This window comes from Homo sapiens, chromosome 7, assembly GCF_000001405.40.
Source record: "Homo sapiens chromosome 7, GRCh38.p14 Primary Assembly".
Lineage (NCBI taxonomy): Eukaryota > Metazoa > Chordata > Mammalia > Primates > Hominidae > Homo > Homo sapiens.
In genome coordinates, this window is record NC_000007.14 from 39,732,476 (window position 1) to 39,748,652 (window position 16,177).

The window sequence follows — 16,177 nt, forward strand, 5'->3', positions numbered from 1 at the left end:
CAGGTTTCCAGATATGGTCAGGGCACCATCAAGAATGGATACCCTTTCTAGGGCCATGTCTGGTTATAATCTGTTCACTTTGTTCAGTACAAACGATCACTTCCAGAGCAGAGGCTGGGGTGGAGAGTTTGGAATTTAAGTTTTAACACGTCCTAGAGCCAGTCTCCTTGAGGGCAGGAACCTTATTCTCTTATTCATTACTGCATCCCCAGGCCTTGGAAAAGGACCTGGCTCATAGTTGGTTCTTATTAATTCTGAGAAGGGAAGGAGGAATGACTTCCTTCCGGGGACCCTCCTCAAGCTGGACTGAGCCAGGTCCTATGACCACCTGCGGAAGAGCACCGCAGGGTTTGGGGCCATCTGCAGCAAGACAAGGTGTCATTCAGGCTCCCTGCAGCTCAGCTCTAGCCAATTCTCCTCCTTCCCGCCATGCACACTGCAACTAGTGGAGCAGTTTTCCAGGGTGGCACTTCCCTTTCCCACCCTCCCCCGTTAGGAAAAGCCCTTCTTCTCCTGAGCTCCCATCGCTGCCTGAACCCCACTCGGCCTGGCCCTGCAGAAGCGAAAGCCAGGGACCGGATTTCTCCTGAAGTCTTCTCTGCCAACGACAGTTCCTCTTCCACTCTCCCCCACCCAAGGGCCGCTCCTCTTACAGTAGACAGCGGTGCCTGCATCGAAATGGAATTCAGGAGGAGCACGTGAGGGGGAGGGGAGAGGTGCATTTTGGAGGAACTTGATAGGAGGTGCCTTGGGACACCCTGGAGGCGACGAAGCTGCGTCTCTCAGACTGCCACTCTTACTCCTCGCCCTGTAGCAGAACCCCAACCCCCGGCCTGAGACTCCAGGGATCGGCTGAGCTCGCGGGCTAACGCTGTGAAGCCTGCCCAGCTACCGTGACGTCACGAGACCCCCGCTATCTCGTTGGTGGCTATTTCCTCTCCCGCTGTGGTCCCTGGAGACGCCGGAGGAGATTTCCGTGACAACGGCAAGCTGGCTGCAACGAAGCCGCCCACGTAGGCCTCCCCGGCCTGCTGGAGGAGAGGGGATCCCCCGGGGCAGAGGCGGCTACACCCGGAGAACCCGGAAACCGGAAGCGCAGATCCTGCCGGCTCTGGACTAGCCGCTCAGCACCAGGGCGGAAGGAAGACGAGGCGAGGCAAGCGCCAAGCTTCCATCCGGACTTCAAGGCCAGTGGCTGGGTCTGGTTTTCTCAACACGGCCTCCTAGTCTCCTTCCCGCTTGGGCATCTGTTTTTCTTATATAGACCCTGAAGCCGCCCGTGATGTTCTGTAAGCAGGTTCCGCTTCAGAATCAGAGGTACTTAAGAGGGAACCTGGATGCTAGACCTGCCCTTGCTGCTGGCCTCAGTTTCTTTACCTGTAAAACAGGGATTTTGGAACTGTTAAATTAAATCAAACTTAAAAGAATTACAACTTAAAGCTGCTGGAACTTTACATGATCCCGAGCCTTGAGAGGAATGTGGCTATGCAGCCTGAGTCATGTGGCATGCAGATGCAACCTCTGCCTTTTTCCGCTGTAAATAATTAAGAAGACCAAGTAGCATCCAAGGTAAGACCCCTTTAGATCATTGTCCCTCCTCACAGTCATAATCTTCCTTGGAATGTAGCAATCTGAAACCAACCACATCGTTGTAGGTATGCAACTTGCATGCACATTTGTAATCCTGCTGGAATGTCCCTGCCTCCGTCTATATAATTGAAACCTTAACTTCACCTTGGAAACGCTGACATCATTTGTTTGGAGTCAGCGCTTTCCTGGATGGCCATCCTCAATCTTTGTGTTTAAATAAACTCTATGCTTATTTACATTTTCTGAACTTCATTGTTTAAGGTTGACAGAATGCAGGGGGCAGGGGGACAGTGCAGTGGAGGGACATTAGAACCCCTAGAGTCCTGTGACTCCCAGTCAGAGGGGTCGCTCAGCTGCCAGGTGTCTTTCAAGGGTTCAAGATGAAGTGACGTGCCCCAGGTCCCACAGTGAGGAAGTGGCTGAGTCAGAACATAGGTAATTTCCAGAGCTTCTAATTAGCAATTCACAAGGAGATCCTTCAGAGCCTCTGCTTCCCCATTTGTAGAATGAGGATTGTAAACCCTTCTTCAGTGGGATGCCCCTAGAATTATGTGAAACCACTACAAAAAGTGCCAAACACATGGCTTTTAATAAATGGCCATTATGTCTTTAATTTTTAATAAAGAAAATGGGTTCTTATTAAATTTGTATTCTGTGTTGGGTCATAATGCTTATTCTTCTGTTAACTCGTTCCTCTTTAAGCTAGTCTGGCTTCCTGGTCTTCCTCTCTCCACCTCACCTCCCACTTCTGGAATTCCTAGGGCTTCAGCTTGCTTCTCTCTTACCCTGGTCACTTCACTCTCCCCTCCAGTAGATCTTGAGAGGTCTGTACCTTAATTTGCTAGTCTCCTTCCCGTTCCAGGCATCAGTTTTTTTATATATAGATTTACCCTAGGCCAGGCACAGTGGCACACACCTGTAATCCCAGCACTTTGAAAGGCCAAGGTGGGCGGATCACGAGGTCAGAAGTTCGAGACCAGCCTGGCCAACATGGTGAAACCCTGTCTCTACTAAAAGTACAAAAATTAGCCAGGCATAGTGTGTGTGCCTGTAATCCCAGCTACTCGAGAGGCTGAGGCAGGAGAATCTCTTGAACCCAGGAGGTGGAGATTGTAGTGAGCTGAGATCGTGCCACTGCACTCCAGCCTAGATGACAGAGCAAGACTCGGTCTTGAAAAAAAACAAAAACAAAAATTAGCCGGGCATAGTGCACGCCTGTAATCCCAGTTACTCTGGAGGCTGAGGCAGGGGAATTGCTTGAAACCTGGGAGGCGGGGGTTGCAGTGAGCTGAGATCATGGCACTGCACTCCAGCCTGGGTGACAGTGTAAGACTCCGTCTCAAAAAAAAAAAAAAACAAAAACAACAACAACAACAACAACAACAATCAAAAATAAATAAATAATAAAATAGGAAAAAAGTTAGATTTACTGTAATCTGCTGTAAAATGGGACCCTGTCTCTTACATTCCCTCTGTCCTCACTATTCCCAAAGACAAGGTTACAGAACTTTGCCATAATTAAGGGTTTTGCAGTTTTTATTATGGAAACACAATTGGATGCAAGGAGAATAACAAACTAGAGGTAATTATGGAGCTTAAGGAAATAACACCAAGTCATCTGCCAGATGCTTAGATGTTGGCATCCCTGTGGGTACTGGCCTAAGCTGGCTTCTCACCTCAAGTACCCTCTCTGCAGATAGTTCCTACCTCTTTACTGGCAGCTCAGATCTCTCCTGACCTATGGACTCATGTCCTTCTTCCATTCAAGAGTATTGATCTCTCCACTTCTCTAAGTAGCTCTCAAGAGGAATAAACCAGTGAGAGACAAGCCCCCCATTTCTGACCTAACTTAACAACCTGGAGGTGGGTGAACCAGGCAGGAGCCAGCCAGATTGCAGGGATGCCGACAGTCTCAGTGATGACAGCCCTTTTTAGCTATGGATAACCCAGCATCACTGATCTCAGCTGGTGGCAGGAAGCTATCCCTAGGGTGCATGGAGGTCTGGCAGTTCTTATCTCAGAACCAATAATCCTAGACCAGGGAGACTGGCCTTTAGCCAGGCCTCAAAAACCACTGAAAGAGCTGAGTGATGACAAAGTGAAGTAGCAAGGCTCGTGCTGCTAGGGCTGATGGTTAACGACCTCAGTTTCCTCATCTGTAAACTAGTGAGAAAAATACTATCTGCCTCATGGGTAGTTATGGGGAATGAATGAGTGAATGCATATGAAGCGTTACTAAGTGGTATGTAAATCTTAGCTATTATTATCGTTTGGAGAGGTGAGAAAATGGGGTAGCTTTTTTAGTGGATAAAATAGAAAGATTTTCCACACATATCTCTTCTTTTGCCAATGTGGTCTCTTTATATGAACATATTCGTAAGTTAACCTTTGTTTTTAGTTTCTGTCTTACTGAAAGAATTGCAATATTTACACACTGTCACAGTATAAATGAACTTCTGTTTCATAAATTATGTAGTATTCTTTTTCTTTTTTTTGAGATAGGGTCTCACTCTGTTGCCCAGGCTGGAGTGCAGTGGCACAATCACGACTCACTGCAGATTCAACCTCCCGGGCTCAAGCAATCCTCTTGCCTCAGCCTCTGGAGTAGCTAGGATAATGCCACCATGCCACCATGCCTGGCTAATATTTTATTTTTATTTTATATAGAGACAGGGTCTCATTATGTTGCTGAGGCTGATCTCAATCTCCTGGGCTCAAGCGAACCTCCTGCTTCAGCCTCCCAAAGTGCTGGGATTACAGGTGTGAGCCACTGTGCCCAGCCAACTATGTAGCTTTCATGTACTTATATGCTTCATAGTCTATCAGGCTTCTGACAGTTGCATTTTTCTCCTTTGGAACATCAGCAAGACGTTGGATTTATACTAGGACTAGCCATGTTGGGGGAGGTACCTCTTAACATATTGAGGACATGGAGTTTTGTTTGGAAGGGACTTCAGTTTCCTCTCTACCCACCAAATGCTATGCTTATGCCTATGGCTTGTCCTTCTGGTTGGGCTTATTGAAAGAAAAAAAAAAGAAACTTAGGAGGCAGAAGCTTTGAGGCCAGGGACTGTTGAGTGTGGCATAGTCGGTTGGTCTGTCTGAAGTCACTTGGTTAACTATGTTGAATAGAAAAATACAGTCAAAGAGCCCACCTGCTGTTCTCCAGGGATCCTGAGACGTATGCCACCTCCATGCTGTTACAGTATCAGAGCCCAGAGGGGCGTAGGTGGAAACCTCACAAACAGTCTGGCTTCTTCTAAACCCTTTCAGATGTTGATCCTTTATATATCAAACTTGGAGCACAAGTGCGGCAACTCAACCTGCTGACAGGATTAAACAAGAATACCTGAGGCCAGGTGCGGTGGCTCATGACTGTAATCCCAGCACTTTGGGAGGCCAAGGTGGGTGGATCACTTGAGGTCAGGAGTTCGAGACCAGCCTGACCAGTATGATGAAACCCCATCTCAACTAAAAAGACAAAAATTAGCCAAGTGTGGTGGCACACACCTATAGACCCAGCTACTTGGGAGGCTCAGCCAGGAGAATCGCTTGAACCTGGGAGGTGGAGGTTGCAGTGCACCGAGATCATCCCATTGCACTCCAGCCTGGGCGACAGAGAGAGACCCTGCCTCAAAGAAAAAAAAAAAGAATATCTGTCCTAACCCACCAATCCCATTTCTTTTGCTCTCTTGAAGGAAAAGGGTCCAGGAACTGTTGGCAATTTTTATCCAAAGTAACTGACACAAAGACAAAAATACTTTATCAAAACAAGAGAGACTACAGACTATTTATTAATGCCCTGGAAAACTGGGCATCTTTTGAAATGATGTGGTGTATCTGAAACCCAAATTCTGAAATTAAGTTCCTTGGATACACCAAAAGCAGGGCAATGACATTTATTGGTGTCTTTTGTGTGTCAGTTAACAAAAATGCTTTACATATGTTGAATAATTTTAAGCCCTCAAAACAAAACTATCTTCACTTTTATGGGTCTAGAAAAGGAAGCTCTAAAATTGAGGTCATACCTACAAAGTACCATGACTAACGTGGTTGTGGCTGGAACACCATTCTGGATCTATCTACAGGTTCTTAGGGGAGGCAATCATCTGTTTATCAATAGCTGGGCTGTCTTATAGTGAGTAAAATAGCTAAAAAAAAAAAAAAAAAATATATATATATATATATATATATATATATATGTTTGTTTGTTTGTTTTGTTTTGTTTTGTTTGAGACAGAGTCTTGCCTGTCACCCAGGCTGGAGTGTAGTGGTGCCATATTGGCTCACTGCAACTTCTGCCTCCCAAGTTCAAGCAATTCTCCTGCCTCACCCTCCTGAGTACTTGGGATTACAGATATGCACCACCATGCCTGGCTAACTTTTGTATTTTTAGTAGAGACTGGGTTTCACCATGTTGGTCAGGCTGGTCTCGAACTCCTGACCTCAAGTGATCCACCCACCTTAGCCTCCCAAAGTGCTGGGATTACAGGCGTGAGCCACCGTGCCTGTAAAGATACAAGTTTTATAGATAAGTTAGAAAAATATATATAAGGGAAGGCACAGTGGCTTATGCCTGTAATCCCAGCACTTTGGGAGGGCAAGGAAGGCAGATCACCAAGTCAGGAGTTTGAGACCAGCCTGGCCAATATGGTGAAACCCCACCGCTAGTAGAAATACAAAAATTAGCTGAGCATGATGGCACGTGCCTGTAATCCCAGCTACTTGGGAAGCTGAGGCAGGAGAATCGCTTGAACCCAGGAGGTGGAGGTTGCAGTGAGCCAAGATTGTGCCACTGCACTCCAGCCTGGGTGACAGAGCAAGACTCTGTCTTGAAAAAAAATTTTTTAAATAAAAAGAAAAGAAAAATATATAAGAAAAAGCAAAATAATCAGACATAATCCCCCACCCAAAGTTACCACACAAAACATTTTGGTATTATGAAAACACCAATATATTTACCTGTTTTTGTCATCTGAGCTGTTACAGTGAGCCTTTTTCTAGATCCATAAATGTAGGTCTATGTCATCTATAGTTGGCTGGATAGTATTTCAGTACTTGTCTGTCTCATAAATTATTCATCTGGCTCCCCTATCATTAGACATTTAGGTTGTCTCTAATTTTTATTTATTGTAAATAATGCTTCCATGCATATCTTTGTACATCTTTGGGAGCTTTTGTTTTGTTTCCTTAGGAAAAGTTCTTAAAAGTAGACTTGCAATGTCAAAGGGAATGCATTTTTTTTTGTAAATTTTAAATCTATCTATCTATCTGTCTATCTATCTATCTATCATCTATCTATCTATACACACATAAATAAAATATACAGAAACATTAAAATGGTAGTTATGGAGGGTGGGAGCCCTGCAGGATAGAAGGAAATGGGAAGATGCAGGTCAAAGGGAACAAAGTTGCAGTCTTGTAGGATAAGTAAGGCTATAGATTTAATGTACAGCATGAAAACTATAGCCAATAATATTGTATATCAGTGATTTTCCAAGAGAGTAGGTTTGAAGTGCTCTCATCACGAAAAAGAAAGGTAACTATATGAGATGATGGGTATGTTCATTTGCTTGATAGTAATCAGTTCATTATGTCTATCAAGATAAGTCAGTATATCAAAACATCATGTCATACACCTCAAATACATACAGTAAAAAATTAAAGTATATCACATATACTGAAAGTGCACAAATTATAGTTTGATGAAAAATCATAAAAATGCACCTGTATAAATATGACTCACTCCAGTCCTTCAATGTAAATAAGGAAAAAAATACCTATATATTTGACCCAGATTAAGATATAGAGAAACACCAATACTCTGAACCTCTCTCGTGCTTCCTCCCTGTCTTTTTTTTTGAGACGGAGTCTCACTCTGTCACCCAGGCTTGAGTGCAGTGGCACGATCTCAGCTGGGACTACAGGCGTGCACCACCATGCCCGGCTAATTTTTGTATTTTTAGTAGAGACAGGGTTTTGCCATGTTGGCCAAGCTGGTCTCAAACTCCTGACCTCAGGTGGTCCACCTTGTCCTCCCAAAGTGCTGGGATTACAGGCGTGAGCCACCGCGCCCAGCCCCCTCCTTGTCTTCACGGCACCTCCTTTCCAGACGTAAGCACTCGTCCAACATTTAATATACTAGATTAATTCTGACTTATTTTAGCTTTATATAAATGTAATCATACAGTATGTACTCATTTGTGTCTGATTTCTTTTACTCAATATTATCTTTATAAACTTACTCATGTTGTCAAGTATAGTGGTAGCCCATTCATTTTAATTGCTGTATTTTTGGAGGATAAGCTCTAATATTAAATTATTATTATTATTTTTTTGAGATAGGGTCTCTGTCACCCAGGCTAGAGTGCAGTGGCATGATCATGGCTCACCGCAGCCTCGACCTCCCGGGCTTAGGTGATCCTCCCACTTTGCCTCTCAAGTAGCTGGGACACTGGCATGTGCCACCATGACTAGATAATTTTTGTATTTTTTATAGAGATGGGGTTTCACCATGTTGCCCAGACTGGTCTCAAACTTCTGAGCTCAAGCGATCCACCCACCTTAACCTCCCAAAGTGCTGGCATTACAGGTGTGAGCCACTGCGCCCAGCTAATATTTAATTTTTAAAAAGTGAATACTCACGTGTAACCATCACTCCTTAAGCCTCCTTTGTGCCCTCTACCGATCATTACTTCTTCCAAAGGTAACCGGTCTTCCAATTTCTATCACCCTTGATTTGTTTTACCTACTTTTGAACTTCAGATAAATGGATCATATAATATGTATTATTTGATGACTGGCTTATTCCATTCATCATTATGTCTGATTCATCCATGTTGTTGGGTGTAGCAGGAGTTCATTCTTTATTGCTGTGTGAATACACAACAATTTATTCATCTATTCTACTGTTGATGGATATTTGGATTTTATCTAATTTTAGGTTATTATGGATAATGCTACTAGGAACATCTTGATTTTGAGAATTGTCATTCAGTATTATTAAAATTTTCATGTATGTTGGAAAGTTTTATAGTTTTCTTCACATCATTTCTATGCATTTATGTATTTCTACTTTTATATTTTTAAAGATGAGGGCTTGCTCTGTTGCCTAGGCTGGAGTGCAGCAATATGATTGTAGCTCACTGAAGCCTCAAAGTCTGAGGCTCAAGTGATCCTCCCCCCTTAGCCTCCCAAGTAGCAGGACCATAGACTTGCACCACCACACCAGGCTATTTTTCTTTTTCTATTTTTTTTGTAGAGAGGGAGTTCTCGATATGTTGCCAGACTAACCTTGAACTCCTAGCTTCAATTGATCCTCCTGCCTCAGCCTCCCAAACCTCTGGAATTACAAGTGTTGAGCCACTCACCCAGCTTTGCATTTATTTTTAAGTTTGTTCATAGGTAGTTTATGTCTTTGGTTGTTTATGTTGATTATGTTTGGTTGTTTATTTTTTTTGATAGTTTGTGTTTTTTGGTTGCTTTTGTGAATAGGATCTTCTTCCAGGGAGGTCTTTATATGACACATTGTAAAAGAAACTAATAAATATTTTTTAGAACTTCAGTGTCTTAAGGAAATTTTACTTACCTCTTTTATTTGTAAATAATTATCAAAAAGTTCTGGGACGGTGGTTCACACCTGTAATCCCAGCACTTTGGGAGGCTGAGGCAAGAGGATTGCTTGAACTCATGAGTTGGAGACCAGCCTGGCCAACATGGTGAAACCCCATCTGTATTAAAACTACAAAAAATTACCTGGGCATGGTGGCGCGCTCCTGTAGTCCCAGCTACTCAGGAGGCTGAGGCAGGAGAATCGCTTGAACCCGGGAAGCGGAGGTTGCAGTGAGCTGAGATCGCGCCACTGTGCTCCAGCCTGAGCAACAGAGCAAAACCTTGTCTCAAAATAATAATAATAGTGGTTAAAAATGATCATAGTTGCTTTGTAATGTGTCCTGTTGGCTTTTCATTTCATGGTGGTACAAAGGTAACAGAATTTTGGAGAAATTCCAAATTGCATGGTGGTGTTGAAAGCTTTCCCACTTCAGGAGCTGCTGCAGGAAGTCTCTATTTGGCTGCCAGAAAAGAACACCTAAAAGCTGAGTCACTCAACAGGTGATTATGTACCAGGTACTAAATCTTTAGCACGTAAGTGCTAAACAGAGGGTAGTAAACCCAACAGATGTGCACAAAAAGCATGCATAGAGCTTTCAGCCCATAGAGAGGGGATCGTAGATAAGCCACCATGGGCAAGAGCTTTCAAGGCCTGGGAACCTCATGAGGAAGGCCCTGAAGAGGAAAGGAGATTCATTCTTTGGAGAAGGAGGAGCGCTTCCTGCTGGTGGGATGCGGTGCTGCAGTGAGGGCTGAGTATACTTAGATGTCAAGAGTCCCACGCGCGGTAGTAGCACACACCGGCCTTGGAGGGCGCTGAGACGTGGTCTTCCCACTCTGCCTTAGAGCAGTCGGAAGCACCATTCCGACTTCTGTGGACAAAGCCCTGGAGATTCATGATCAGGTGGTGATTCATGATTCATGATCATGGACGGTACTGCTCCCACCTGGAAGAGACCCAGGAAGGGTTGGTGGGTGTGAAGAGGCTGGAGGCTGCAAGTTGGGGGCTCAGGCGGCTCTGGCTACCAGTGGGGTAGGACTGAAGGCCTCAGACTGGGCTTTGTGGCTGCGGACTGAGTTCGAGCCCCAGCTCTGCCTCTTTCTAATGGTGTGCATTATGGCCAGTCATCTAACTCATGCTCTCTGGGTCCAGTATTGAGCTGGACGTCTGGCACTTTAGCTTCCTACCCAGTAAGGTAGGAAAGAAAACGTTACTGGTGAAATGACCCTTTAAAGCTAAACATAGGAAAATACACTTTAACCTCATAATTTCAAATTCACTGCTTTTTTTTTTTTTGACAGAGTCTCACTTTGTCACCAAGGCTGGAGTGCAGTAGCACAATCTTGGCTCACTGCAACCTCTACCTCCCAGGTTCAAGCGATTCTCCTGCCTCAGCCTCCCGAGTAGCTGGGCTTATAGGTGCACACCACCACACCTGGCTAATTTTTGTATTTGGAACATCAGCAAGACATTGGATTTATACTAGAGATGGGGTTTCTCTATGTTGGGCAGGCTGGTCTCGAACTCCTGGCCTCAGGTGATCCACCCGCCTTGGCCTCCCAAATTGCTGGGAATACAGGCATGAGCCATCGTGCCCAGCCAAGATTCGCTTCATCTTAATTTTTAACAATATTTAATAAGCAGCGACTTGGAATCCTTCAGCTTTTACTTTCTCCCTCTGCTGAGCATTTAAAGATCTATAAATATACACAGGAGAAGCTGCTTCTTAAAGAGATCCTTTTGTAATCTGGGGAATCCTTTAGTTATGAGGATAATTTCACCCTCTAATTTGGTGCAGTAAGAAAATAAATGGTAAGCATGATTACATTTAATCATGTAAAATACTGCCCAGTGTGGGGAAGGGGATGCTTACTCACACAGAAGTCCTTTTATTCACTCTGCTGTGTCATGTGTTTCTGTGACGGGTGTCCTGATGTCCCATCATTCCAAGCACTCTCCTCCCGGAAAGCCATTGTGTGGCCCAAAAGAGATAGAGCATCTGAAAATGATTTTTAGACAAAGGCCAGACAGGTTGAGGATTGTAACTAGGTCGGTGACTTCCTGAGGTCCCTCAACATCTGGACATGCTGGAGGTAGGGGGCTCTAACTGTGGGGCCCATTGAGAAGGTAGAGGACTTGCCCAAAATGAAGACATTCCTGAGGCAGCTGGGGGTGACCTTTGAGATTTCATTATTCTGGCCTGCCCATAGTTCAAAATTTGGCACTAGTTTTCATGGAAAAATGCTGTCTGCCTCAGCCATGAGACCTCTTTCACTGTCTGCAGTTCCGCTTCTACCTGGGCCCAGCTGAGCCAAACTTAGCTCCTGAACACAGGTGGGCCAAGCCACTCCGTGGCTCAGAGATAGGGTGTCCATGTCTCCCAATTTGCCTGTGACACTCCTATTTATGCCTGTTGTCTTTTTTTTTTTTTTTTTTTGAGACCAAGTCTCACTCTGTCGCCCAGGCTGGAGTGCAGTGGCACAATCTCGGCTCACTGCAAGCTCCCCCTCCATGGTTCACGCCGTTCTCCTGCCTCAGCCTCATGAGTAGTTGGGACTACAGGAGCCCGCCACCACGCCCGGCTAATTTTTTTTGTATTTTTTTTTTTTTTTAGTAGAGACGGGGTTTCACCATGTTAGCCAGGATGGTCTCGATCTCCTGACCTCGTGATCCACCCACCTTGGCCTCCCAAAGTTCTGGATTACAGGTGTGAACCACCGCGCCCGGCCGCCTGTTGTCATTAATACTGCCCCGTTCACTCTCCAAAGTGTCACAGTTTGAGCGATAAATTATTTGATCTCCTTATTCAGAATCCTTTCTGCTATTCTCTCAATAGTTTGCAAGATTTGGCAGCCAAGGTTTGCAGAGCAAGGTTCCAGGGACATGACACTGGTTCCTAAAAAGGTAAAAGGAAGAGAGAGTGCAGGAAGGGTCTAAAGCTTTCAACCCAGTGTGGGAAAGACCCAGGAGGCAATAATGCCTGCTCTGGTTCTCTTCCCACCTTCATGGTCACCCTCATTTGTTGAGCTCCTGCATTGCCTCTCCAGGTAGCAGGAATCCAGATACATAAAAGGCAGTGCACTGATCTCATCCGGTGATTAGGAGGAAATCGAACATTCATCCCACATGAGGAACATTTACTGAGCTCTGCCTGGGGCCAGGAATCCAAAAAGAACTTCAGAGAGTAAATAAAGAATTATAATAGAGTGAGGTGAATGCTGTGAGGTAAGCTGAAGGTGTCACAGGAGCCCAAAGGAAGAACTTGCTCACTTTTCCTGTAAAGAGGGTGGGATGCATAATTGGAAAGATGTCACCAAGGAGATGTGTGAGCCTGGCTCTGCAGACAAGACAAGGTATCAGGTACCTCTAAGTGGGGGCAGGGAATTCTCAGCTTTCAAGAGCCAAACAGCCACTATTAGAAGCATGTGTTGGCCAGCAGCAGAGACCCAGGCAGGCAGATGAGGAAGATGAGTTACTTCCCCAAGGGTGGGGCTGGTGCTCCTTCAAGCCCTCCCTCTTAGGGCCAGTTTGTGCCAAGACCTGAGCAGGGGTTGGAGCTGAAGGTCAGCAGCAACTATATGGCCTGCAGAAGAGAAGGGGTGGGGCTGAGTCAGATACACATTTATCTGATATCAGTTCAATTTCCCGGGGGGCAGGGTGGAAATATGGGCACAGTGTGTCCAGGCAGAGAAGCAGAAAACATGGGCCCCAAGGCACTGGTTTATGCCTGACCACAGGGAAAGGTTTAGAAACAAGCCCTGCCTAGTCCACTCCTCCACCCCCCTCCACCCGCCATGATTTGTCCAACGGCTGGCTCCATTTGGCAGTATGCCCCGAGGATCTGGATGCTGAGGATGACTTAGGTTCCAGGGTCTGGCCAAGGTAACCCAGCACTTCAGCCTACATCTTCAGCATCACTGGGCAGGCTTATTAAACACAAGATGCTGGGCCCACCCCTGAGTCTCTGATTCAGCAGGTCTAGAAGGGGGCCCCCTAAATTATGCTTTAACAAGTTCCAGGTGATTCTAGTCCAGGGACCATGTTTTGAGAACCACCAAGGTAATCCAAGCCGGGTATCCTCGTTGACCAGGGGCCCTGGAGATGCTGCCTGGGGCTAAGGCAAGGGCACTGGATTTGAAAGCTGAGGGTTCTGGTTGCGGGCTGGCTCAGGCTACTCGGTTGCCACATGTATAAAAGGGTAATTCTGCATCTTAAATAAGACCTTAGATGTGAAAGCCCTTTGTCAACTGAGAGGTGAGATTTGATGTCAGTTTTTTTACATGCAAACCTAGGGCTGTAAAGTTTGCTCATTTCTCCTAAAATAATTATGGCTGTGGTCTGAGGACCACACGTACAACAGGATCCTCTGGGAAGCTTCCTAGAATGCAGACTTTGCAGCTCTAAATCTTGATGTGGACCCTATCATCACATTTACATTTTCAACACATCTTCAGTGATTCTTGTGCACCCCAAGGAATTTGAAAACCACTTGCTTATGCTGGGGCGGTAGTGAGGGATGGAAAAAAGCTGTTCTTCCGTTTTCTGATCTGCTGTTGGGCCAGGAAGATCCCCCGCCCTCGCCCTGAAGTTTCCTTGCTGCCAGCATCCTTTGGGAACCTCTCATCTCAGGAAGGCTGCCTCTCTGCCCCGTCATTTTCCTCCTGGCTCCCAGCTGCATGCAGGCGCCACCTCCTGGCAACATAGTTCTTTCACTCTTTTTCTCCTGTTGTGTTAATCAGATCCTCCCCACATTAAGTGTTGAGAAAAAGAGCCTTTCCAATGTCAGAAAGAAATGTGATTCTCTTATATTTGAGGGGTTTCGATGCCTCCTTAAATGTCTTCACTTCTTGTGATTTTACTATTCCACTCTCTAAAAAACAACAACAATTAATAAATATATATACGTTTAATTCTTAGTTTTAATTTAATTTTTTTTTTTTTTGAGACAGAGTCTCCCTCGGTTGCTCAGGCTAGAATGCAGTGGTGTGATCTCAGCTCACTGCAACCTCCGCCTCCCAGCATGCACCACCACGCCCAGCTAGTTTTTTTGTGTGTTTTTCATAGAGATGGGGTTTCAGCATGTTGGCCAGGCTGGTCTCCAACTCCTGATCTCAGGTGATCCACCTGCCTCAGCCTCCCAAAGTGCTGAGATTACAGGCATGAGCCACTGTGCCTGGCCTTAGTTTTAATTTTTAATACAGTAAATATCAACATATATATCTCACATAAACAAAAACATTTTGGGGCCGTGTGTGTGTGTGTGTGTGTGTGTGTGTGTGTGTGTGTGTGTCTGTGTGTGTATGTGTGTATTTTTTTTAACTCTAGGTGCTAACCTTAAATAATTCTCCTCTGGGCCAGATGTGGTGGCTCATGCCTGTAATTCCAACACTTTGGGAGGGTGAAGCAAGAGGATCATTGGAGGCCAGGAGCTTGAGACCTGCCTGGGCAAGACCCAGTTTCCGCACACACAAAAAAGAAAAAATTAGCCAGGCATGGTGGCAAGCACCTGTGGTCCCAGCTATTTGAGAGGCTGAAGTGGGAGGATCACTTGAGCACAGGACATGGAGGCTACAGTGAGCTATGATCACACCACTGCACTCCAGCCTGGGTGACAGAGTGAGACCCGGTCTCTAAAAACAATAACAATAATAGTCCTCTGTATATTTTAAGAGAACAAAGGATTCTAAGACCAAAGAGTTTGCGAATCACTGACTTATATATTTATAAAATGGAAACAAAAGTCTCACACTACAATAGTCATCCTTACATCATACAATGCACCCTGAGGCTTTCCTTTCTATTCCATTTTATTTCATCCTTTTAAAAGTACTGATGCTGGCCAAGAAAAGTTCATTTGCGATAGCTTAAAAAGCATTCAACCAAAGTATGGGAACAGTATGTAATTTTCTGGGGTCCACTTTTTATTTAAGTTAAATGTTGTTATTTAAATTTAAAAAGTGCCTAAGGCCACATTAGCCTTAGGATCATGTTCTTTCTTCTAAACAGAGCTGAATTTACCATGCAGTTAGTGAAGCTCAGGTTCAAGGCTCCTGACTTTCACAGGCCCCTCCTGGACCCTCTACCTATTTTTTACCTATAATTTGGCATTCTTTTCTAAAAGATCTGTATCTGTAATCTGTATAAACTTCAGGCCCCACAAAACCCAGATCCACACTTGCTACTAAACTATATTTTTTTCTGTATATAAGCTGGAATGTATTAAAATAACGTAGTTTTTGCTTGCTTTTCTAATTAGAAACAATGATAGTTAATAGTCAATTTTTCTAATTGAAAAAGAGCTGCTGGTTTGCATTAAGTCTCTTTGGTTGAGGAAAGAAACCCACATGAGTTAGTTATATTTCAAGGAAAAGGGAGCTGACTTTAAGGACACATGTGCACTGGAACTACAGAATCATCCAGAACCAGTCTGTTCCTTTCCCCCAGTGGTCACAGGCTCTCTTGCTCACAGCCTCTCTGCTGCTTTCTTGTGAATCTGTCCATTCTGTCCTCCTCCCTTTATGGCTAAGCCTCTTCATACTCATGAGTTGCACATGGCCCACAGGAGACTTTTGCTAGCTCTAATGGTGAATTAGCCCAGTCTCCCTCTATTTCCTAACTATCAGTTCCTCAATGAGGAATCTGATTGGCCCAGCTCAGGTTTCTAAGACATGCCACATCATAGATTGCTGGCCAGTCTGATATAGGCCACCCTTGGATCAAGTGCCCAATAAGCCATAGCTATGGAGAACAGGGTCGTGTGGTACCAACCTTAGTCTGTAGACAGGGCCTTATCCCTTAGAAGAGACTAGTCAGCAACAAGCTCAGCAAACCATCAAACTGATCTGAATTCAAACTTTGATTTTTTGCTCCATATATTTAGTTGGATTTAATATTAATTAATTTATTTTTTCAAGAACCAGAGTCTCACTATGTTGCCCAGGCTGGAGTGCATTGGCTATTCACAGGCACCATCAT

General features: G+C 44.8%; 1 long non-coding RNA gene across 1 annotated transcript in view, besides 5 other annotated features; it reads left to right on the forward strand.

The window, feature by feature from the left end:
- Positions 496 to 595: an enhancer, noted in NCBI's record as "active region_25881". NCBI's record gives its function as "activates an Ori minimal core promoter by ATAC-STARR-seq in GM12878 lymphoblastoid cells {active_cell/tissue: GM12878}" and the evidence as "EXISTENCE:reporter gene assay evidence [ECO:0000049][PMID:35858748]".
- Positions 686 to 755: an enhancer, noted in NCBI's record as "active region_25882". NCBI's record gives its function as "activates an Ori minimal core promoter by ATAC-STARR-seq in GM12878 lymphoblastoid cells {active_cell/tissue: GM12878}" and the evidence as "EXISTENCE:reporter gene assay evidence [ECO:0000049][PMID:35858748]".
- Positions 913 to 2,112: an enhancer, noted in NCBI's record as "P300/CBP strongly-dependent group 1 enhancer chr7:39772987-39774186 (GRCh37/hg19 assembly coordinates)". NCBI's record gives its function as "activates an origin of replication core promoter dependent on BRD2, BRD4, P300/CBP, MED14 and CDK7 cofactors, with strong dependence on P300/CBP, by STARR-seq in HCT116 cells {active_cell/tissue: HCT116}" and the evidence as "EXISTENCE:reporter gene assay evidence [ECO:0000049][PMID:35650434]".
- Positions 1,046 to 1,125: an enhancer, noted in NCBI's record as "active region_25883". NCBI's record gives its function as "activates an Ori minimal core promoter by ATAC-STARR-seq in GM12878 lymphoblastoid cells {active_cell/tissue: GM12878}" and the evidence as "EXISTENCE:reporter gene assay evidence [ECO:0000049][PMID:35858748]".
- The window catches only part of LINC00265 (long intergenic non-protein coding RNA 265), a 61,056-nt gene continuing 45,971 nt past the window's right edge, over positions 1,093 to 16,177 (forward strand). Inside the window, exon 1 of the long non-coding RNA NR_026999.1 lies at positions 1,093 to 1,569. This is a non-coding gene — a long non-coding RNA (long intergenic non-protein coding RNA 265). The remainder of the gene's footprint in view (positions 1,570 to 16,177) is intronic.
- Positions 2,317 to 3,088: an enhancer, noted in NCBI's record as "H3K27ac hESC enhancer chr7:39774391-39775162 (GRCh37/hg19 assembly coordinates)". NCBI's record gives its function as "activates a minimal SCP1, AML or CMV promoter by ChIP-STARR-seq in primed H9 embryonic stem cells {active_cell/tissue: H9 hESC(primed)}" and the evidence as "EXISTENCE:reporter gene assay evidence [ECO:0000049][PMID:30033119]".